The sequence below is a fragment of the Homo sapiens genome, chromosome 12 (assembly GCF_000001405.40).
Source record: "Homo sapiens chromosome 12, GRCh38.p14 Primary Assembly".
Classification (NCBI taxonomy): Eukaryota; Metazoa; Chordata; class Mammalia; order Primates; family Hominidae; genus Homo; species Homo sapiens.
Window position 1 is genome coordinate 40,267,909 of NC_000012.12, and position 19,191 is coordinate 40,287,099.

The 19,191-nt window shown below is 35.9% G+C and overlaps 1 protein-coding gene across 11 annotated transcripts in view; it reads left to right on the forward strand.

The window, feature by feature from the left end:
• LRRK2 (leucine rich repeat kinase 2) overlaps positions 1 to 19,191 on the forward strand; it is a 144,289-nt gene that overhangs the window by 42,912 nt on the left and 82,186 nt on the right. For all 11 annotated transcript variants that reach the window (XR_007063041.1, NM_198578.4, XM_005268629.5 and 8 more), the window contains 5 exons: positions 6,675 to 6,819; positions 6,946 to 7,085; positions 9,980 to 10,108; positions 10,183 to 10,353; positions 15,967 to 16,225. Coding sequence is in view for 10 of the 11 variants with exons in the window: in NM_198578.4 (NP_940980.4) it covers positions 6,675 to 6,819; positions 6,946 to 7,085; positions 9,980 to 10,108; positions 10,183 to 10,353; positions 15,967 to 16,225 (844 nt within the window). In the remaining variant the exon portion in view is untranslated. The remainder of the gene's footprint in view (positions 1 to 6,674; positions 6,820 to 6,945; positions 7,086 to 9,979; positions 10,109 to 10,182; positions 10,354 to 15,966; positions 16,226 to 19,191) is intronic.

Sequence of the window (19,191 nt, forward strand, 5' to 3'; positions counted from 1 at the left end):
TTACATTTTAATACATCTAAACTTGGAGAGCAGAGTTCCAAATAAGGTAGAACTTGAGATTCAACTCTGATTTATAAAGCAGAGACTAAGAAGAGTATTTATAAAGCGAATCCATGTTTGGATACATAAAAGTGCAATAAAATTCAAGCTGAAGTTAAAATCTCTGTCTAGAACAGCGATGTTCCATTTATGCCTGATCCTTTTAGCTTTTCCACAGATGAAGACTTTGTCACCTGTTCCAGAGAGATATATTTGTTCATTATTGTTTCCAGAGAGCAAAATGGAAAATAAACTCTGCACATTTTGGCCGCATCTGTGTTTTATATGCGGTGACACTCCTGTTCTCTTCAGTGAGGAAATCCAGTAAAGTAAAACCAGTCTTCTGATGAAATGGGCACAAATCAAAGAACTTGTGAGCTTCACAAAAACCTTGAAGCAAAATATACCAAGCTTAAATATTGAATGTATTGATTTCAGTAGTCAAAAACAGAGCTCATCTGCAAAAGCAACAACAACAATGACAACAACAAATTACATATAAGTAAAATTTAAAAAAGGTTTACAGGATGAATATACAGAAAACTATGAAGCTTAGGGGTAGAGAGGAGTAGTTGAATATATGAAAAGATACATCTTTTTTGATGAAGGACTAAATTTTTAAAAATGAAAATTGATCTATGTTTATGAACCATTAGTAAAAATAACAATAGTATTTTCTGGAACTAAGTAAGCTAGTGTAAAATTTGTATGAAAAAATTAATACATATGAGTAATCAGGAGAATTTTAAAAAAGAGTGTTGATTCATATGGCCTAACTCCAAAAGATAATCAAATGTATTATACAATTTTAGTAATTATAATGGTGTGATACTGGCACTAGGGGAGAGAGATCAGTGCCACAGAAGGGTGGCTCAGGAAATAGACTCAAATAAAAATTTGTAATGTTATGATATTCCTCGACTGCGGGAGGAAAATAGATTACTCAGTTACTTGTGTTGGAACAACTAACTCTTCAGCCATTTGGGAAAAGCAAAGAAAGCTGAATATTTATCTTACTCCTTTTGCCAAAACAAATTACAGATGGATGAGATTTAAAGTCTATAATGAAATTGGTATATGTACATATTAAAAGTTTCAACTATAATTGTTATTAACGTAAATGACAACGGAACACCTTGTTGGAGGGAAATTTGGTAATATCTATCAAAATTAAAATGCCATGTTTTCTGATCAGCAATTTCATTCTAAGAATTTTTAATGTAGATATACTTGCTCATGTACATAAAGATTATTAGACATGAATGTTCACTGTGGCATGATTCGTAATTAAAAATGTGGCAACAAACTAAATGCTTACATGGTAATCATTCATGCTGTTTGCCAGATATTTTTATTTCTCCACCTTGTGGTGATTCTGGCATAGTATTTAGTAGTTAGGTTGAAGCATGTGACTAATTTTGGTCAGGGAGTTGTAAATGGAGGGAATAGCTGGTGAGACATCTTGCGGAATACTGTCTCAGGTACCATCGTACCTGCAGTGTTTGAGATAGTAGTTGCTCCATCAGTAGAGGTCCCTGAGGGACTACAACAAGCAGAGTCCCCTCCTGACCTGCAACACATATGTAGCATGAGCAATAATGGAACTTATTATTTTTGCACCCTATAAAATTTTGAGAATTGTTACTGCAGCTTAATTTAATCTTTCCTGACAATACAATACCTATCAATAGAGACTAATCAGATAAATTATACCATTTCCAAATTGTATCATCCTGCATAAATATTAAAAAACAATGAGGTGAGATTCCTAATGTGCTGCTATGGAAAAATCTTCAATTTTCTATGTGTACGAATGTATTTCCCAGGTATTCGTTTTTTCCTTCCTGTATGTTGACACATTATGCACACTTTTGGATGAAATTAATATATTTCCACCGCTTTATGTCCTCTCCCTCACTTTTATCACCCAATTGTAGCAAAGTATATGTTTGCTTTTATAGCTTTAGCTATATAAAATTTTCTAATAGCTAAGTTTGTGGTTCCTGGAATTAAGATATCTGAATTTAAATCTAACACTACTACCTACAGACTATGCACCCTGGACAAGTACTTAATGTCTTGGTTTTGTTATGTATAAAATGGAGATAATAACTGATTTTTCACTTAGAGTTGTTGAATATTTTATAAGATAATTCATGAAAAAGTGTCAGTATAATGCTTGGCACATAGTATGCGCTCAATAAATGTTAATGTTATTACTATTAGATTTAAAAGTATCTTTTGACCCCTGGCTATAGAAGATGAGGAAATCAGAGTATTTGCACTTCTAATATCTCCTGTTTTCCCACCTACTTTTGTTCAATAAATTAACTCCACATTGGCAGGGTAGATAATATTTATATTCAGCTTTCTAATTATGCTTTCTAAGTTTGTGTTTATCTTACTCCTACCGTTATTTGGAAGCAGTCTTCATCTCAAGTCCTTTTGTTACTGTTTTTTCACTCATCTTTTAGTTGTCTGAATTTCTTTAGAAAAGTTTAATTCCCTGAATATTTAATGTTTATATTTTGTTGTTGTTTTTGCCTTTATATTTGGACTCCTAAAAAAAGTTTTGTTGGTTGTAAAATATTGTTTTTTTTTCCTTGAAGTGTTTGTAGGCATTTCACTGTGTTCTAGTACTGAATGTTTTAGTGGAGAAGTCTGAGGCCAGCTTCATTTGTTTCTTGGATATTTTTGCCCAGTGCTGAAAGGATTTTTTCTCTTGAAATCCATCCACTTTATTAGGGTATATCTCAATGTTAGTCCTGGGATATGGTATCCTCATTCTAGCTATACATTCAACTTTTTTCCTGGAAAGTTTTCTTGAGTTGCATCTTTATATACATATACATACACGAATACATATACATGGTAAAGATATTAAGGATAAAGATAGGTGCTTTATAAATACCAATTTGATATAATTTTGGCATGAAAAAAAGCCTGTGGTGCATTCTGAGTTTGGAAGTAGAACTGGATATACTTACTTATTACTATTGTTTTTAATACAAAAATGGAGACAGGGTCTCACTATGTTGCCCAGGCTGGTCTCAAACTCCTTGACTCAAGCAATCCTGCCTCGACCTCCCAAAGTGCTGAGATTACAAATGTGAGCCACCGTGACCAGCCTAAATATCTAAATTTTTCTCTTTCATTATTTTAGCTCTCTTCTTTGGGGCTATCAGTCATATGATGTTGGATCTCTTTTGCCTTAATCTTCTAATTTTTCAAAGACTAATCCAGAGACCACTATCTATCACCATGCCATTACTCATAGACAAGGGACATCATTCCACACATTTAGCTTATTTGTCAAAATCAGAGATGGGATTTATAAAAGAAAAAGAATAAAGGGAGAAAACAAAACACAAATTATCTGGGAATGCGAGTCTGTTTTCCTTTCTTTGGCTAATCTACTTACCTAGTAGCTAGGAAAGAGGCCAGCATGAGTATTTTTCCATTGAGCTGGCTAGCTCAGTCATTGGAGAAACCATTTCAATATTTATGGATTCTCTGAAAAAAACTTGGAGAGTAAAAAAGCATAGGTGGTAGGATGCTGCCATCCTTCTGTTGGCATCTCCAGAGTTTCACTTGAAAAACACCTCCTAAGTAGACACTGATAAATTGATTTTAATCCCTATTTGAGCACCAATGCAATACATTACTATTTCAAGATGGAGCATTAGATAACTAAAGGAAATTCTATTGTGGGCTTGTAAATATCATGATAGTCATACCTATGTAATACATATATGTATATATAAATATTAATTTTTAAACATTTACTTAGCTATTAAAAATCAAATGCTCATATTTAAAATTATTGGTTTATTAATGCACCATCACATGTTATCATGTGATACTCTGAATTCTCTTTTTGCATAGACAAATCAGAGATTACCTGCTGCAAGTCATTAGTCATCATTAACCTGTACTGAAATGGTTAGAGCCTAGGGGAGTTCCAGGTAAAAGGACCAGTAATGAGTAGAAGCTTGTTAGATGTAGAGATATTGAGGACAGAGATAGGTGCTTTATAAATATCAATTTGATATAATTTTAGCATAAAAATAAGCCTATGATGCTCTTTGAGCTTGGGAGTAGAAGTGGATATGTAATTTTCAGGGCGTAGTATAAAATGGAAATGCACACTCCTTGTTTGAAAATTATTAACGATTTTACAAGGGTGACAACAGAGCATTGAAGCAAGTGCTCTGTGAGCATGAAGCCCTGTGTGAAATACACACCTGTGAAGCTGGCCTTGCCTGCCAAACAGGAATGCTGGTACTGTTAATCAAACAGAAAGTTCAGAATGACAATCTGACTTTTTTTTGTAGAAGATACTAAACTTTTGGCCTTGAATATCTGAATTTAAGATACTGGTATCAAGCCAAAAGAAATTTGGGCTTAGAACTTGAAAGATTTAAACTTGTGCTTTGACTTGTGTGCTCACAGCTCTCTGTGTCACAATTTTTTTCATCTGTACTTCGGGACAACAATAGTGTGTCGACATCACAAAGGTTTTGGGAGGATTAAGTAGGTGAATACATATGAAGTTCTTAAAAGAATGTCTGGCACTGAGTGAGTGCTACCTCGGTTTTGGCATCGTTATTGTGGTCATTGCTATTGTTATTATGACTTGAAGTCATATTAGTGTATGAAATCCCATCCATGAATAGAAGACAGAAAGAACTTTGGGCAGGGTTTGGAGGTAAAAGAAGACATTGTAAAGGAGATGGGTAAAGGAATGATTTTAAAGACTGAGAATAATTAGGGGAGTACGATGTCATGGAAATTAAGGGATGATAAGCACCAATTAAGTTGTTATTGGACTTTTTTCTTTGAATGGTTCAAATTCAGAATAATAAGGAAAGAAGTCTGATTATACGAAATTAAAGGGTAGGGTGACTGTGGAGGTAGTGGGAGTTGACTTTTCTGCTAATAAGTTTAGAAATAAAGGAAAAATGGTAGCTTGAGGAAAGAGAGGAGCGATTAAGGGAAAGTCTCTCGTTAACTCTTGTTTTTCATCTCTGAGGACAGCGCTTAGCCCAAGGCCTGACCTGTGATCATTACTCTCTCAAGGTTTATTCCATGGACAGAGCTATCTCATTTCATGCTTATAACAACCCTACATTATTAGAATTGTTTTAGAGATGAGGAAGCTGAGACACACACCAAACCAGCCTTCCAATTTCACTTTGCACAACTTTGAATTTCTTTATATTTCTTGAATAAAAGTTCCACTTTTTAACTTACCACTTCTTAGCAGTCATTGTCTAACTGAGTAATTGTTACTTCATTCATTTAATGGTTCTCAGATTCGCATAATTTGAACCTAAATTTAATTGGCCTCCAAGCTGATGTGCTTACAGAAACAGTGACAGGAAACAAAAATGTCAAGGGAGACTATGTATTATTAAGATGATAAATGAAATGATGTCCAAGCTGAGCAATTAAAGTGTGAAGTAGAAGGACACAGGGTGAGAAACTGATGCTTCTCCTCAGCCTCTATAAAAAAGATACTGAATAAAGATAATTGAGAGGCATTAGGGGACTAGACTGAGAAAGGATTGGAAATCTGTTCACTGAGAGTACAGAAATGAGGAAGCTTGGAAGGCAGAAGATTTTGGTCAAAGACGTCTGGCTTGAAGCTATTTCAGCTCTTTGGATTATCTGTGGTGGAGGCCATCACGTCTTTGGAGTGGAGGTACCATGAAACTAGTGTCTGCAAAACATCATCTAAATGAAAGCAAAATTCCTGAGAAGGATGGCACTATAATTTTTAAAAGAAAAGCTATGAGTTAAGCATTCATATCAAGGTAGATGTTTGGAGTGTATTGCTTGTGTGTGAAAAGGCAGAGATGACCAGAATAAGAGTTAGAGGTATGCTGCGTTTTCTTCTTGGTTGATGAGTAGGATGGCCTGGACAAAGAAGTGACCTCTAGTAAAATACCTTCATAGTGTCAAATCATCTGGAGGAAATTCAGATTAAAGAGGTTGGATGATGTCGTAATTAAGATCCTGGGCTTTTAAGGTGGACACATTTATATTCAAGTCCCAGGCCCAATGCATATTAGCTCTGTTACTTGAGCTTTTATTTCTGCATCTTTAAAGTTTGGCAAACCTATTACATGAAGCTGTTGAGGGGATAAATGAAATAACGCATGCAAAGCACTTGCAGTAAAGACTAATTATCAATATTTTATTTGTTAAGAGGCAGCATTGCGTTTTACTGGTCAAGTATGTAGACTCTGGGGTGAAACATATTTGGTTTGGTTTCATCTCTGCAATTTATAGTTTGTGTAGACTTTGAGAATAGTTCTCAATCATTCTAACCCTCAGTGAATTCATCTTCTAATGGGAGTGATATCAGTATGGATTTCATGAGATTATGAAAAGAAAATGCCTACAAAGTATTTATTACAATGCCTGGCACAGAACAAGCTCTCCTTAATTGTAAAAATGCTAACTCTTATTCTTCATAATAAATAAAAGTAATTAATGTTATAGAAAACAAAATCAAGGATACTGATTTATATTTGGATTACTTGATTTATATTTTGTCAGTCTATAACTGGTCTTAACTAAGGTAAGTATTAAGATCTCATTTTTAACAGCGAGTATTCTTTTGATTTTAGTTCATTGGAAATCCTGGGATTCAGAAATGTGGATTAAAAGTAATTTCTTCTATTGTACATTTTCCTGATGCATTAGAGATGTTATCCCTGGAAGGTGCTATGGATTCAGTGCTTCACACACTGCAGATGTATCCAGATGACCAAGGTCAGTACAATTTGAATTCAGGATTTAGAATAGATTTTTGTAGGGCATTAGCTGGTGACTGGATGTCTTTAAATATTTTTCTTCAGTTTTGAGATTTAAAACAATTCTTTTTTTTTATTTTCCTAGAAATTCAGTGTCTGGGTTTAAGTCTTATAGGATACTTGATTACAAAGAAGAATGTGTTCATAGGAACTGGACATCTGCTGGCAAAAATTCTGGTTTCCAGCTTATACCGATTTAAGGATGTTGCTGAAATACAGACTAAAGTATGTGCATTATCTTGGAAAGAATTTGGGAACTTGTGCGAATTTCACTTTTGGAGCAGTTTGTGTAATTCCCACTTTGCATGAATGGGGTATTCTAGTTAATGGAAAACCATTTATCCTTTTGTAGTATTTTAATTATACAAGCAAAGAAAATTGGATTGAATCTCTAAAGATCCAGTGTTTCATTATGAAATCTCTAAAGTCAGCATGGTTATTCACCATTTATCTTGCCCATAAAAGTTCAGAGAATGTGCTAAGAAATCCCAGCTAGCTGAGTTTATTCGCTTAGATTTTAGATAAATAGAATTTATAAATATTCCAAAGTTTGTCACTCTCTGGGTTTTATTGCAGGTTGCTTACCTTTAGTAATTTTGCTTGTTGATTTTTTTCCTTGCAGTGAAAAAATGTTTTTAACATTTTTCATCAAGCAAAATTTAAAACATGATATATAATAACTGTCTTTGTAAGGAATTCAAGATACTGGCCTAGAGTTAGTTCACGGGAGATTAAGAATAAATTTGTTTTGTTTTGTTTTTTAATTGTAGCAAAACAAATAGTTTTTCTTCAAGAGTTTCTGCCTTGGTTGTGGAGTTTGCAACTTTCATAAACTACAAAGGAATTTTTTTTTTTTTTTTGGAGACAGGGTCTCACTCTGTCACCCAGGCTGGAGTGTAGTGGCAGATTTCAGCTCACTACAACAGCTGCTTCCCGAGCTCAAGTGATTCTCTTGCCTCAGCCTCCTGAGTAGCTCAGACTACAGGCATGCACTCCCATGCCTGGCTAATTTTTGTATTTTTTGTAGAGATGAGGTTTCACCATATTTCCCAGGCTGGTCTCAAACTCCCTGGTCTCAAGCAATCTGTCCTGCTCAGCCTCCCAAAGTGCTGGGATTACAGGTGTGAGCCAAGGTGCCCAGCTGACTCAGGAAATATTTTTTGTAACTGGCAGCATTGACCAGGAATAAAAATACCTGGTCTCTAATCTTTGCACAGACATTATCAGTAAATGAGAGAATATGTGTAAAGTTTTTTAAAAAATTATAAAGTTATGAACATACAAAATTCTTAGATTAATAACAACAATGTGTTTTATAACTGCTTTTCATAATGTGCCTCAGGCTAGGCTGATTAAACCAAGATAGGATTGATTAAAAGTAATCTTAGGGAAAGGGAAGGATTTTGTGCCGGTATGGAACTCTCAGTTACTCTGGATTAATTCATCTAGGCATAAATTTTAGAATCTCTATAGTAGAGTTTATGAACTAAATCTGGCCTGCCAACATATTTTATTTGTCCAGTTCAGGGTTTTGCTTTGTTTTTTGAGACAGAGTCTCACTCTGTTGCCCAGGCTGTAGTGCAGTGGCGCAGTCTCAGCTCACATCACCCTCCGCCTCCTGGGTTCAAGCAATTCTCCTGCCTCAGCCTCCCTAGTAGCTAGGACTACAAGTATGCACCACCATGCTCAGCTAATGTTTGTATTTTTAGCTGAGATGGGGTTTCGCCGTGTTGGCCAGGCTGGTCTCAAACTCCTGACCTCAAGTGATTCACTCACCTCGGACTCCCAAAGTGTTGGGATTACAGGCATGAGCCACTGCACCCGGCCTTCAGTTCAGTGTTTAAAAGTTTTTAATTCGAATGACGTACTTTCTGCACATTTGCATGGCCTGCTCTGCTGTAGCATTCACTTGTTTTCAGAGACCTCTGCTCTAGAGGCAGGTGGATCACCTGTCCCTCAGACATACATAAATTAAGGCTACTTTGCTTATCAAATATTAGTATTCGTAGATACTCAGCATCATAAGAGTTCGAAGTAATAATTTTAATATTTAGATGACGTAAGTTAATTTAAAATTTTTTTGAGATGGGGTCTCACTCTATGGCCCAGGCTAGAGTGCAGTGGCACAATCTCGGTTCACTGCAACCTCTGCCTCCTGGGCCCATCCTCCTGGGTGGGCTCAAGTGATCCACCTCAGCCTCCTGAGTAGCTGGGACTACAGGTGCATGCACGGGTAATTTTAAAATATTTTTTATAGGCACAAGATTTTGCCATATTGTGCAGGCTGGTCTTGAATTCCTGGGCTCAAGCAATCCCACAGTGCTGAGATTACAGGTGTGAGCCATGGTGTCTAGCCAATTTTATTAATATGTAATATTAGAGGTAATAAAACATTAAAAAGTTAAGATGATCCTTGGTGGCTTTACCCAACCTAAATAATACTAAAGTCAAAAGCCCAATCTTTCATTAAAACATCACATGAGTGAAGAGGACAGACTCTGGGGATGTGCTTAAGGTGGTTCTAAAAAAGTAACGGTGTTCTTTATAAATAACTTATTATTAGAATGTAATCCTCAGAGTGCCCTCAGCGCTTCTCAACTACACTCAACATAAATGAAATCTAGGAGTCCACACTAGCCTTTCTGAGATAAACATTTCGGAAGACAGCGCAAAAAGCTGGGGGATATGCTAGGCTCTCTAGAGAACCTACTGTTCAATATTATAATACAAATTTTTACTCTATTGACCTGTTTGGATGTGTAGTTCTGCTGATCCAACCGCTTTAATCCTGTTTAATATCTGGGTTTCATCCTATAACTATGGCTTTAGACAAGCATCTTTGAAAACCAAATTTGAGGGTATTAGTTCTTTTTCCTGCTTTGCTACTGAATGGTTTGTTAACTAGCATTTTATTCTCTGTGCCTGCTATATTTCTTAGTCATGAGAGAGAGAGGGAGTATTTATTTACAGGATAAATACTTTAAAGCACCAACCCAATATATCTATAGTTAAATGAACATCCTAGGTATTGTTTCATATACAAACTCTCTCTGCTTTATACTGTTTATTCATTTTGCCTGTAATTGCTTATTTTATTATTTTTTTTCTTATACTTTTAGGGATTTCAGACAATCTTAGCAATCCTCAAATTGTCAGCATCTTTTTCTAAGCTGCTGGTGCATCATTCATTTGACTTAGTAATATTCCATCAAATGTCTTCCAATATCATGGAACAAAAGGATCAACAGGTACAGTGTTTTTCACTTGCATCCTAAATGTTATGTATTTATCTGACTCTAATTCTCATTTCCACTCTTTTTAGTTTCTAAACCTCTGTTGCAAGTGTTTTGCAAAAGTAGCTATGGATGATTACTTAAAAAATGTGATGCTAGAGAGAGCGTGTGATCAGAATAACAGCATCATGGTTGAATGCTTGCTTCTATTGGGAGCAGATGCCAATCAAGCAAAGGAGGGATCTTCTTTAATTTGTCAGGTAAATATTCAAGGCCTCACTTTTGTCTTTGCTCAGTATTCTTATAGAATGTAAGAGCCCTGCCATTGTGTATCTCTTACTTATATCATATTATTCTTCACTACAGAAATTTACCAGTTTATTGCAATTGTTTGTGTCTTGTAGTAGATTTATAGAATTCCAGAAGTAATAGGGTCCTTTAGGTGTTATCCAGTCTAATCTTTCATTTCATCTGTTTACTTATCTTGTTAAGTTGATAAATAACTTTTCAAATGTGTCCCTTAGTAGGCATCTCTACAACTTAGTCTCCAGATACACTCCACATAACACATAGTTCTAATGTTTTGATAATTTTTTAACCATTTTTTTCCATGGTTTTAGTTTCTTTGCCTAGAAAGTTCTCCCCTGAGGGCTACCACACATGGCTATGCAGGCTGTGGATGGCACACTTTTGTCGGTGCCATTCACAGTGACATGAGTTGCTGTTGGCCAAAGTTGTGTAACACTGGTCTTTCTTTCCTTCTCTCTTCCCTCCTGAACCATGTAAACATATATCTATCTGATTGTTCTGCTCTCCCTTCAAAATATAATTCAAATTATCTTTCTTTAAAGCCCTCCCCATACCTCCAAACCTCCAAACAAAATTAAGATTTACTTCTTTTGTCAGTCTATGAAAATATATACATATCTCTTGTATACTTGGTGAGTTGTGTGAAAATAACAGTGTACAGTGTTCATCTTTGTATCATTCAGAATATCGAGCTCATTGCTTTACATATGGTGTGTATTCAATAAATACTAGGTTCATTGCTTATATTTCAGATTTGTATTATTTGTATAAGTGTTAGAGTTTATACTAGCATTCAGGTAGCACTATGTCTATTTTCTAGAAATTTAATATTTCTAACAAAGCAATTATGTAGTGATTTAATACACATTATTAAATAATCAATAAAGTACTATGTTTGCCAATAGTTTACTTTTTAAACCTTACTGTATTTAATATCCCTACTGTATTTAATATCCCACTTGCCTATGGATTGAAATCAATTTGTTGACTGTTAAGATTAAGTTAATACTAATTAGTAATCAACATAAAAAGAAAAAGAATTTGTAACCCATTTTCATGCATTACGTTTATGAATTAAAATCACATAAACAATCTAATTATTTAAATTTAGTCAAATTTCTTTTAAGCAAGCAACAATTAAAATAGTTGCTCCGCTTTACTAAAGATAATTAAATTTTTCCATCAATAATTTAATACATTTTTACTGTGCATCTTTTGCATGCAGATTATTGCATTAATTTTAATTGAAAATACCGAAGAACTAAAAAGAAACTTCCCCTTCTAAGTCCACATTAAGGAAACAACATACCTAAAAGCACCTGATACAACTGTACTACATTCCCCACAGGAAATCATTTCTACTATTCTTTCAATTTATCCAAATCTTTCTACCCAACAGGATTTTTACTTTATTCCTCTTTCCATATTCTTTTGGACTTCATATGCTTAGTTTTATCTTTTCTTTTTAAAACGAAATCTTAAATCCAAGGATTATGTATTAGGTTTAAAGAATTTATCCCAGTTGTCAGAGGTTATTTATATCTAGCAAACAATAACTGCTGATTAAATCTTGTGGATGAGTTTGTCGTATGTACCTTATTTGTGCCAGAGCAAAATAAGGTAATCAGGACTATTTATTCATTTACCAAGAGGTTACATATTGAAGGACTATCTAGAGCAAGGGTGGAGTTGTGTTAGACTTTCTGCAGAGAATTTGATAATGGAATGTACATGATTGGTAGAGAAGAATATGGAAGTTTAATACTGGGTATGCAAATGCATGGATAAAAACCTCAAGGTAAAACTCATCAAATCACAGTGGAAAAAGTATAGTGAAGTCTGAATAAAAATAATAAGAGGCTGGGCATGGTGGCTCACATCTGTAATCCCAACACTTTGGGATGTTGAGGTGGGAGGATCACTTGAGCCAGGAGTTCGAGACCAACTTGAGAAACATAGTGAGACTCCATTTCTACAAAACAAACCAACAAGCAAAAAACCATGTATGATGGCACACACATGTAGTCCTAGCTTCATGCAGGGTGGCTCATGCCTGTAATCCCAGGGCTTTGGGAAGTCAAGGCGGGAGGATCATTTGAGCCCAGGAGTTCAAGACCAGCCTGGGCAACATAGTTAGACCCCCATGTCTACAAAAAGTCAAAAAATTAGCTGGGTATGGTGGTACCTGCTTATAGTCCCAGCTACTTGGGAGTCTGAGGTGGGAGGATGACTTGAGCCTGGGAGGTTGAGGCTGCAGTTAGCTGAGATTGCACCATTGCACTCCAGCCTAGGCAACAGAGCCAGACCCTGTTAAAATAAAATAAAATAAAATAAAATAAAATAAAATAAAATAATATAATAAGGCTGAGGTGGGAGGATCACTTGAGCCTAGGAGGTCAAGGCTGCAGGAGCTAAGATTGTGCCACTGTACAGCAGCCTTGGTGACAGAGGGAGACTCTGTCTCAAAACCAACCGGTCGGGTGCGGTGGCTCACGCCTGTAATCCCAGCACTTTGGGAGGCCGAGGTGGGTGGATCATGAGGTCAGGAGATCGAGACCATCCTGGCTAACCCGGTGAAACCTTGTTTCTACTAAAAAAATACAAAAAATTAGCCAGGCGTGGTGGCAGGTGCCTGTAGTCCCAGCTACTTGGGAGGCTGAGGCAGGAGAATGGCGTGAACCTGGAAGGCGGAGCTTGCAGTGAGCCTAGATCGCGCCACTGCACTGCAGCCTGGGCGACAGAGTGAGACTCCGTCTCAAAAAAAAAAAAAACAAAAAACGAACCAACCAACCAACCAACAAAACAAACAAACAAAAAACCAACAAAACCAAACACTTCTATCATGCTCATTACCACCTGGGCACTGCTCCAAATACTTTACACAATTTAATCCTTACGACAACCTACGAAAAGGTCCAGTAGGTTCTAATGTTATTCCCATTGTGCAAGTGAGAAGCTGAGGCACTGAGGGTTTAAATAACTTGCCTAAGAACAAGCTCCTGGTAACAGTGTGAAATCTGCCTCCACAGTGCCTGCTTTAATTTCTTGGCTACACAGCAGATTCATGGTAGTGGTGGTAGTGGTGTTCATTTTCTCTAAAATAACAGTTTGAATAATTTGGTTTTGATAATGCACTGCATTTATTATAAATTAGATGATCAGAGAAAGATTGCAGGGATAAGAAATTATGCTTTTGATAATCTTTAGTTATATTCTTAATTTTCTTCATTATTATTTAAATGTAAAAATAAATATCTGTGAGCAGTAGTATTTTCCTGTCATGAAGCTGAAATTACTTTCATAAATATGTGTGAATATTCTAAAGAGAATGACTCTGTAGGATTTAAAGAAATTAATTCTTATTTTTGCTGGCATTTATTTATTTTATCAGATTCACTTTCTCATATATGTCTCTCTTCATGGCACCATATGCCTAAAGTCAGCTTGGATAGTTTGGATCCTCCAAGGAAAATTCCTTCCACAAACATGTGCAGCACACAGTGCTAGATAATTAATAGAGAATATAAAATGGGTTTCCTGTTTCAAGATGGTTTGTAGGTCTGTATGTGTAGGGCATTGACAAGAGAGTAAAACATAAATCACCTTAGTACAAAGTAAGGAGTGAATGGCATATCTTAGAGAAAAAAAAGTTACTGGGCTATAAGAGAAGGCATTTGTGAGTTTTTCCCTCCCTCCCCGCTTCCCTTCCCTTCCCTTCCCTTCCCTTCCCTTCCCTTCCCTTCCCTTCCCTTCCCTTCCCTTCCCTTCCCTTCCCTTCTCTTCCCTCCCCTCCCCTTCTCTTCCCTCCCCTCCCCTCCCCTCCCCTCCCCTCCCTTCTCCTTTCTCTTCCCCTTCCCCTTCCTCTTCCCCTTCCCCTTCTCCTTCCTTCCTTCCTTCCTTCCTCTTCCACCTGCCTTCCTTTTAATTTTGCTATGAGCCCTTAAAGAGGATTTTAGTAATTTGCTACTTAAATTAAATATATTTGCTAGATGTTGTGCTAGGCTTCAGGAATACAAGTTGGATTGCAGTAATGTAAAGCCCTTTGCATTCTAGCAAGAAAACAGATGGGTATGTATGTTTGCTCAGTGCTACATTAAATGAAATGGATGGGAGCCGGGAGGAGAAATGGTGTGTTTGGCCTGAGAGGTTAGTAGCAAGGACTTCTCTGCAAGAAAGTTTGAAGCCAATTCTTCAAGAATGAACACCTTTTTGCTGGGTGAAAAGTAGAGGAAGGCATTTGGGGTAATAGAAATAGCATAAAAGGTAATGAGGTTTGAAAAATTACATGCTGTGTTTGGAAGAATGTCCTGGAGCAGCAGCGTTTTAGAAGGTTTTTAAAGACGATGGTGACTTGATCAGAGCTCTGTAGTGCTTTGAGGATGGGTTGAAGGTGGGCGTACTTGGAGACTGGTGGGCATTTAATTGGTGCCTTCCAACCACATAAATGAATGTCCCCTCAAATCCCTTGGAAACACTTTAATTCTAGAAAATTCAAAAATTGTCCCCAACATCTTTTTCCTCTGAGTTGGTACCCTGGATCTTTGGGTCTTCTTTTCTTTCCTTTTTTGATGTTTTATTTTGGGTAATGAAAGTCACACAGGTTTTGAAGCCAGCAGATTTGGCTTCAAATCCAAGTCTCAGTTGCTTGCTAGCTGTAAGGGACAAATTATATATCTTTTCTAAATACTCATCTATAAAATGGGAGTAATAATTGCTATGGCATAGGATTTTTTTAAAAAAAAGATTAGAAATCATGTGTGTACAGAATTTAGCACAGTAACTGATGGATATTATTTCTATTACCTGTTATCTTGGTCTTCTAGTTGATAGCTCCTTGCTAGCGTCTAGCTCCTTTCCATAGCTCTTCCTGAGTAGGGCCAGCATGCAGTGCCACAGCTTGCTAAGGCTTCTCCTGGATTGCTGAGTTGTTCTAGTTTTTGTGGCACCTCACATGCTAACCCACCCTGAACACATGCTCTGAAAACATAACATTTAGAGGAAGGTTGAAGACTGAGAGACAAGGTATATCTTTGAGGAAATTCAGATGCTTGTCTTGAGGAGCTCAGGAAAGCTAGACACGAGTAATGACTGTCGTTTGTGTGTGGCATTAATAAATTTTACAATAGCTATGTCCCCATTTAGTTATTCTATGTCACAAATAAAGGCAGGACAGTAGTATTTACTGTGTTAAGGTACTGGTTTCCCAGGTATCTTACAGTGAGAAGACAGAAGCTCAGAAAGTGTAAGCAATGTGCATATTTGGTGGAGTCTGGATGTAAACAGAGATCTTGATGCCAAGCCTGTGGAGCTTTGTCTCCATATAATGTTGTCTCTTTCATAATAACTGACTGTCATGTGGCAGATTATTCATGCTATTCTGACATTGATGGCATTAATATCATCTTATTTTCCCAATCTATTCAAGGATCAGTTTTGCCTTATTTTATTTTGTTTCATTCCAAATTGGAGATGTAGAGAAAAATCACATGAAGTTTGATTTGCCAGTCTCCTAAAAGGAAGAAAAATGTAGATTTTTAATATACTTAATTTTTTTTCTTTAATAGGTATGTGAGAAAGAGAGCAGTCCCAAATTGGTGGAACTCTTACTGAATAGTGGATCTCGTGAACAAGATGTACGAAAAGCGTTGACGATAAGCATTGGGAAAGGTGACAGCCAGATCATCAGCTTGCTCTTAAGGAGGCTGGCCCTGGATGTGGCCAACAATAGCATTTGCCTTGGAGGATTTTGTATAGGAAAAGTTGAACCTTCTTGGCTTGGTCCTTTATTTCCAGATAAGACTTCTAATTTAAGGAAACAAACAAGTAAGTAACAAGGAGAATATTTTTTACAATTCTTATTTTTAATAGTATTTTTTTAAGTCACTAGTCTTTTAGTGGTTATTCATGCCAGTTTGAGGGACCTTAAGCCAAAGATATTGCAAAGGTTTGGATTTTTTTTTTTTTTGGCTATGAAATACTTCAAAATGACATTTAAGTTCTTTATGAGATAGCAAATAGTTATTTATAAAAATAGAGCAAAATAGTGGAAGCTTTTTGAAGGGGTACTTTTTAATATATATTTTTTATTATTAAAGTAAGATATCCCTGTTTTTAAAGGAAATATAAAATTATAAAAAAGAAAATAAAAATAACTTATTTTATCTCTTATAAGTAATTAATATGGATATTTTTCCTAACTTTTTATATGCTTACATGTACCTATGCATTCAAATGTATGTAAAAGCATACACACATATTTATTTGGCATTTTTAACTTAGAATATACTTTATATTTCAATTGATAATGCATTTTCTTTATACTTTCAAGCTCATGTGTATTTTGTACATATTATGTGTATTGATGGTAAGTTACCATCTTCTGACACTATTTTTATCTTTTGAGCTCTCTCATTTGTTCACACTAAATGTGTTTTTAGCGTGAAAGCTCCCAGCTTTCCCTGTGTTAACTTAGTCCCATGCCCATCTCCTTCCCCATGGTCATCAAACTCCATGAATCAACACCTTAAGGACCATCTTGCAAGTAACATGTTTGCTTCTCTCATTTTTATGATGCACTCACTAGCAAAACACCAGTTTTGGTCAGTCTACCAGTCTACTTTTTCCCTCAGTTTCACCAAGAAAACTGAGTGCTGCTAGAGAAAAGTACCCATCCATGCAATTTGGTGCCTTTATACATCAAGGTTTCCAACCGCTCAGTAGGCTCCAAAAGTTCCAATCAGGCTGAATTTTCCTCGGTTTCTCAAACACTTCGTGTACCCTTACTTCCAGTCTTTTTCCAGTGTTACTCTCTCTCTACCTAGCTCTAAATTCTCTCTTCACCTGGCTGTCTCTTCATTCTTCCTGTCTCAGTGCTATCACCAGTCTGGAAGGTTCTCTTACATGACCCTATAGCACTTTATTTCTCACATATACTACCATTCACCACATTATATAATTTAATTTTTCATTTTTATAATCTACTTTTTGGTAAATTGTTAGTACCATGAAGTCAATGTCAATTTTGTTCATGGTTGTAACCTTACCATTGATACTAGTGTTTTGCACATAGTAGATTATCATTTAGAATTAAGTATTCAATATTGGCAAAAAATAAAAATTGTGTAATACATTATGTTGATAAGCATGTGTGGAAACATGCTTCATATATTGATATGAATTTAAATTGTCCTCTTTTGAGGACAATTTGGCAATATCTACTAATATTTTTAATATATGTACATACTTTTTTGACCTCACAATGTACTGTTAGGAATCTATGATACAGACATTCTCAATGTGCACAAAAATTATGTACAAAAATGCACATTAAAACATTGTTTATAATAGCAAAAGAGTAGGAAAAAAACCTAAGTATTCCCCAAAAGGAACTATTCAAATAAATAATGGTACATACATGTTGTGGAATGCTTTGCAATCATTGAGGAAAAAAAAACGTGGAGCAAATTTAATGTCCTGATAAAGATTACATTACTCCGTGGCAAAAAAAAGGGCACAGACAGTGTTTTTACTATGCTAATGTTGATGAAAATGCAACTGGAATATGATAGTTATAAAAGTTTGAATATGAAATAAAACCCTCCAGAAATGGGTTCCCTGGTTGTCTCTGGGTCTTTGGAAATTACTGAGACATGGTTAGATCCCATGTTTCATTACTTAAACTAGTCTTATGCCAAAAACCTGCTTACTTTAATCTTCAATATCCGATGGAGAGGAATTGTGGGCCCATTGGAGAGGGACAGAGGGAGATTTATCATTCACTATATTCTCTTTGTTCTGTCTGGAGTTTTTACCATTGACACATCTTACCCAGTTAAAAAAACATAGAATTGTCATTTGATTAATTGGAGGGTATAACCATGATTTCACTGGCAGCTGGTCTGAGTAAAGAACACTTTGGGTCATAGCTTTCAAACATTTTTCAGGTAGTATTTGCCTAAGTGACATATTTGTGTGTGAGCTCATCCTACCGGGCTTCGGGATAATTTCCCATATCATAACATATTACTCTGGAAAAAGGAACCATTTGGGTATATGGGTATAGTGTAAGCCATAGTATCAGTTGCCTTCTTGGGGTTTATCATATGGGTCCACCACATATTTACAGTAGGAATAGATGTAGATACATGAGCATACTTCACTCTGCTACTATAATTATTGCTATTCCTACTGTTGTCAAAGTCTTTTAGCTGATTATCTACACTTCACAGGGGTAATATCAAATGATCCCCCACCATGCTCTGAGCCCCAGGGTTTATTTTCCTTTTTACAGTAGGAGGCCTAACCAGCATTGTATTAGCCAACTCATCACTGGATATTGTACTACATGATACAGCAGTATCATGTAGTAATATTTGAAGTCATTACAGTAGTAATATTTGAAGAAATCTTCCTGGCTGTATGTAGAACAATGAGGACTCAGCCAACTTATTCTTCATAGTAGAGCTAATACATAATGTAATGAAGTTGTGAGAAGAATGTTAACTTTGAAATTCCATCAGGTTTCCCAATAGTCATAATGAATCACTCAGCAAACTTTATAAAAATAACAAGATCCTTTATTTAGCAGTTTATGTGTTCTATGCATTGTGCTAAACATTTTATATGCATCATTTCAATTACTCTTTTTCATCACCATATACTGTATTTATTATCATCTTCATTTTCCAGGTGAGGACACTGATACCCAGGGAGCTCATATAACTCACAAATGGCATTTCTATGACTTGAACACAGGCCTGTCTGGCTTCAAAGCCTAGGCCTTTTCCTGA